This window comes from Homo sapiens, chromosome 8 (genome assembly GCF_000001405.40).
Source record: "Homo sapiens chromosome 8, GRCh38.p14 Primary Assembly".
Classification (NCBI taxonomy): Eukaryota; Metazoa; Chordata; class Mammalia; order Primates; family Hominidae; genus Homo; species Homo sapiens.
The window spans coordinates 114,577,858-114,583,001 of NC_000008.11; positions in this window are offsets into that span (position 1 = coordinate 114,577,858).

The window sequence follows — 5,144 nt, forward strand, 5'->3', positions numbered from 1 at the left end:
TTAAATTGTTAATTATAGTTGGAAAATTTTGCAAATTGACTAAGTTAATAATAAAAAATAATCATCTTTTTAAAATATTGGTAGCTGACAATTATTAGAGGTAGATGATGGTTAGCCACTACCACTAACCTTATTATCAGTCTAAAAGGAAAGAAATTTCATACCCTATTCTGTCATATTATAGACATTCTTAGTTGATAGGCAAAGACTGTCTTCTAGCCAGAAGCACAGGCAAAAAGAAATAAAGGCAAATGGGATAACATCAAACTAAAAAGCTTTTGTGCCACAAAGAAAACAGTCAACAAAGTGAGGAGAAAACATACAGAATGTGAGAAAATATTTGTAAACTATGCATCGGACAAGGAGTTCATATACAAGAATATGTAACAAACACAAACAACTCAATGGCAATAAAATAAGCAATCTGATTAAAAAATGGGCAAAGACTCTGAATAGACATTTCTCAAAAGAAGACATACCAGTGACCAACAGATATATGAAAAATGCTCAACATCACTAATCACCAAGGAAATGCAACTCAAAAAATATTATTTCTTTAATTTATAATGAAATCTCATGTCTTACTCTTTGTGGTGTTCCAAAAATACTCTCCTTGAAATATTCCGACGTATATGATAAATTAATCTAAAGGGAGGATGAAGCTAGAAAACTAGGCATATATAGATGATTAAAAATTAGCTGAGTTAGGAAATGAGCTCAGAACCTTTCAGAGATCAAACCCAGGGTGCTGTGCCTCATTTAAAGAATGAGGAGTCACTTGATTCTAATATTCTGACTATGCAAGTGTGTGGAGTTTCCAAAAACTATTTTAAACAAAGCACATTGCTGGGAAACTACTAGTTTTACTAACAGGCAACCACTTCTAACATCCATTATGCTAAATAGCAAATATCCTATTGTTGAGGAATCATACAGGTTGTGGAAATGATTGGGGTAACAACCTCTAAAGTGTGGACTTTCTGATTAAATGCTAGCTGACCATGCCAGGAGAAGGATTTTCTAATTAGGCCAATTAGATGTCCTCAGGTTCAAATAAATGTACACACACTTATTTCACATGGCCAATAACATCAAATTACATACTAATGTAAATTGGAAACATCATAAAATTATGTCCTCAAATTTTTTTAAATAATAAATTTAGACAATCAGAACAGCCTTAGAAAATCCACACTAGATTTCCACTGGATATACATGTATTGTACATACATCAGATATATAGAATTTACAAATAAAGAATTGATTCTTCTTAATTGTCCCTCCTAAGTTAAATGGCAAACTAGTATAAACCTAGAATAGTAGAAACATGGAAAATAGTTGTCTTCTCCCATGTTCCCAGATGCCAGTGGTTCTCAAAAATATAACAAAAAATATTTGTGTCAAATATAAGATGCTGTTTTACAAAAATGTTGTAAGAAGGGTTGTCCACAGGAGTAGACTTACCGAATGTGTTTTTCAAAAATTGTTTCTCGTAAAACTAATGTGGCTAAAATTTGTGAAGGTTTACTTATTCCAGATACTATTCTATGAGCTTTTTTATATGCATTAATTTATTCATCCCTCAAAATAATTCCATAAATTAGACAATATTATTAGCCTTTGTGCAGATAAGGCAGATAACTATTAAGTAACTTGCCAAAGGTCAAACAGCTAGAACATTAATTAAATAGCATTAAAGCATAGGCATTTGGCTCTGGAGTTCATCTTTTCAGCTAGTACAATATAGTGACTCTGTCATGGTGTGTAGCCAAGGCTGGCTTCCTGGACATATGACCTGTGCAGTCTCATAGGTTCCCATGCTTAGAAGGGAACTCTTCTTGGTTTAATACTCACATTGCTTAGTTCATACTTAGTTAATAACATCCATACCTGCATCATAGTCACACTGTTCTTGAGTCCATTAAGCAAGGGTGTGGGAGATTGTGGAAGGAGGCTGGCTATCAACAGAATAGTCATGTTGTTCATATGCTTTGTATGATCCTGCTGTGAACCGGAATATTTTCTAGCTATTAATGCTGCATAACAATCTGCCCTAAAATTCAGTAGCATGAAACAAATCTTATTTTAACTAATATTTTGCCCCTGTCTCATTTCCTGATTTCTGGGACTTTGCTTGGAGACCCAATGCCTGGGGATGATGTTATAGCCAGGAGCAGGTATAATATGGATGTGTCTTTACTTGTGTATCTGGTGATTCATGCTAGATGTCCGCTGGAAATTCAGCTGAGGTCACTGAAGAAAGCACTTATGAATGGTCTCTCACTGTAGCCTGGGCTTCCTCAAAGCATACTGGCTTCAGAGTATTTACCCTTCTTATATCTCACTTCTTACAGACTTCTAACATAAGTGAGTGCTCCAAGACAGCCAGGCAAAAACAGCTGAACTTTAAAAACATAGCTTCAGAAGTCACTAAGATTTATTTCTGCTGTACGCTATTGTTTGGGAGCAGTGACCAGCTAGCCCAAATTTAAAGGGAAAAGGCAAAGGTCCTACTTCTTTTTTTTTTTTTTTTAATTATACTTTAAGTTTTAGGGTACATGTGCACATTGTGCAGGTTAGTTACATATGTATACATGTGCCATGGTGGTGCGCTGCACCCACTAACTCGTCATCTAGCATTAGGTATATCTCCCGATGCTATCCCTCCCCCCTCCCCCCACCCCACAACAGTCCCCAGAGTGTGATATTCCCCTTCCTGTGTCCATGTGATTTCATTGTTCAATTCCCACCCATGAGTGAGAATATGCGGTGTTTGGTTTTTTGTTCTTGCGATAGTTTACTGAGAATGAGGACATGAACTCATCATTTTTTATGGCTGCATAGTATTCCATGGTGTATATGTGCCACATTTTCTTAATCCAGTCTATCATTGTTGGACATTTGGGTTGGTTCCAAGTCTTTGCTATTGTGAATAATGCCGCATTAAACATACATGTGCATGTGTCTTTATAGCAGCATGATTTATAGTCCTTTGGGTATATACCCATTAATGGGATGGCTGGGTCAAATGGTATTTCCAGTTCTAGATCCCTGAGGAATCGCCACACTGACTTCCACATGGTTGAACTAGTTTACAGTCCCACCAACAGTGTAAAAGTGTTCCTATTTCTCCACATCCTCTCCAGCACCTGTTGTTTCCTGACTTTTTAATGATTGCCATTCTAACTGGTGTGAGATGGTATCTCATTGTGGTTTTGATCTGCATTTCTCTGATGGCCAGTGATGATGAGCATTTTTTCATGTGTTTTTTGGCTGCATAAATGTCTTCTTTTGAGAAGTGTCTGTTCATGTCCTTCGCCCACTTTTTGATGGGGTTGTTTGTTTTTTTCTTGTAAATTTGTTAGACTTCATTGTAGATTCTGGATATTAGCCATTTGTCAGATGAGTAGGTTGCGAAAATTTTCTCCCATTTTGTAGGTTGCCTGTTCACTCTGATGGTAGTTTCTTTTGCTGTGCAGAAGCTCTTTAGTTTAATTAGATCCCATTTGTCAATTGTGTCTTTTGTTGCCATTGCTTTTGGTGTTTTAGACATGAAGTCCTTGCCCATGCCTATGTCCTGAATGGTACTGCCTAGGTTTTCTTCTAGGGTTTTTATGGTTTTAGGTCTAATGTTTAAGTCTTTAATCCATCTTGAATTGATTTTTGTATAAGGTGTAAGGAAGGGATCCAGTTTCAGCTTTCTACATATGGCTAGCCAGTTTTCCCAGCACCATTTATTCAATAGGGAATCCTTTCCCCATTGCTTGTTTTTCTCAGGTTTGTCAAAGATCAGATAGTTGTAGAAATGTGGCGTTATTTCTGAGGGCTCTGTTCTGTTCCATTGATCTATATCTCTGTTTTGGTACCAGTACCATGCTGTTTTGGTTACTGTAGCCTTGTAGTATAGTTTGAAGTCAGGTAGTGTGATGCCTCCAGCTTTGTTCTTTTGGCTTAGGATTGACTTGGCGATGCGGGCTCTTTTTTGGTTCCATATGAACTTTAAAGTAGTTTTTTCCAATTCTGTGAAGAAAGGCATTGGTAGCTTGATGGGGATGGCATTGAATCTGTAAATTACCTTGGGCAGTATGGCCATTTTCACGATATTGATTCTTCCTACCCATGAGCATGGAATGTTCTTCCATTTGTTTGTATCCTCTTTTATTTCCTTGAGCAGTGGTTTGTAGTTCTCCTTGAAGAGGTCCTTCACATCCCTTGTAAGTTGGATTCCTAGGTATTTTATTCTCTTTGAAGCAATTGTGAATGGGAGTTCACTCATGATTTGGCTCTCTGTTTGTTGTTGGTGTATAAGAATGCTTGTGATTTTTGTACATTGATTTTGTATCCTGAGACTTTGCTGAAGTTGCTTATCAGCTTAAGGAGATTTTGGGCTGAGACAATGGGGTTTTCTAGATATACAATCCTGTCATCTGCAAACAGGGACAATTTGACTTCCTCTTTTCCTAAATGAATACCCTTTATTTCCTTCTCCTGCCTAATTGCCCTGGCCAGAACTTCCAACACTATGTTGAATAGGAGTGGTGAGAGAGGGCATCCCTGTCTTGTGCCAGTTTTCAAAGGGAATGCTTCCAGTTTTTGCCCATTCAGTATGATATTGGCTGTGGGTTTGTCATAGATAGCTCTTATTATTTTGAAATACGTCCCATCAATACCTAATTTATTGAGAGTTTTTAGCATGAAGGGTTGTTGAATTTTGTCAAAGGCTTTTTCTGTATCTATTGAGATAATCATGTGGTTTTTGTCTTTGGCTCTGTTTATATGCTGGATTACATTTATTGATTTGTGTATATTGAACCAGCCTTGCATCCCAGGGATGAAGCCCACTTGATCATGGTGGATAAGCTTTTTAATGTGCTGCTGGATTCAGTTTGACAGTATTTTATTGAGGATTTTTGCATCAATGTTCATCAAGGATATTGGTCTAAAATTCTCTTTTTTTGTTGTGTCTCTGCCTGGCTTTGGTATCAGAATGATGCTGGCCTCATAAAATGAGTTAGGGAGGATTCCCTCTTTTTCTATTGATTGGAATAGTTTCAGAAGGAATGGTACCAGTTCCTCCTTGTACCTCTGGTAGAATTCGGCTGTGAATCCATCTGGTCCTGGACTCTTTTTGGTTGGTAAGCTAT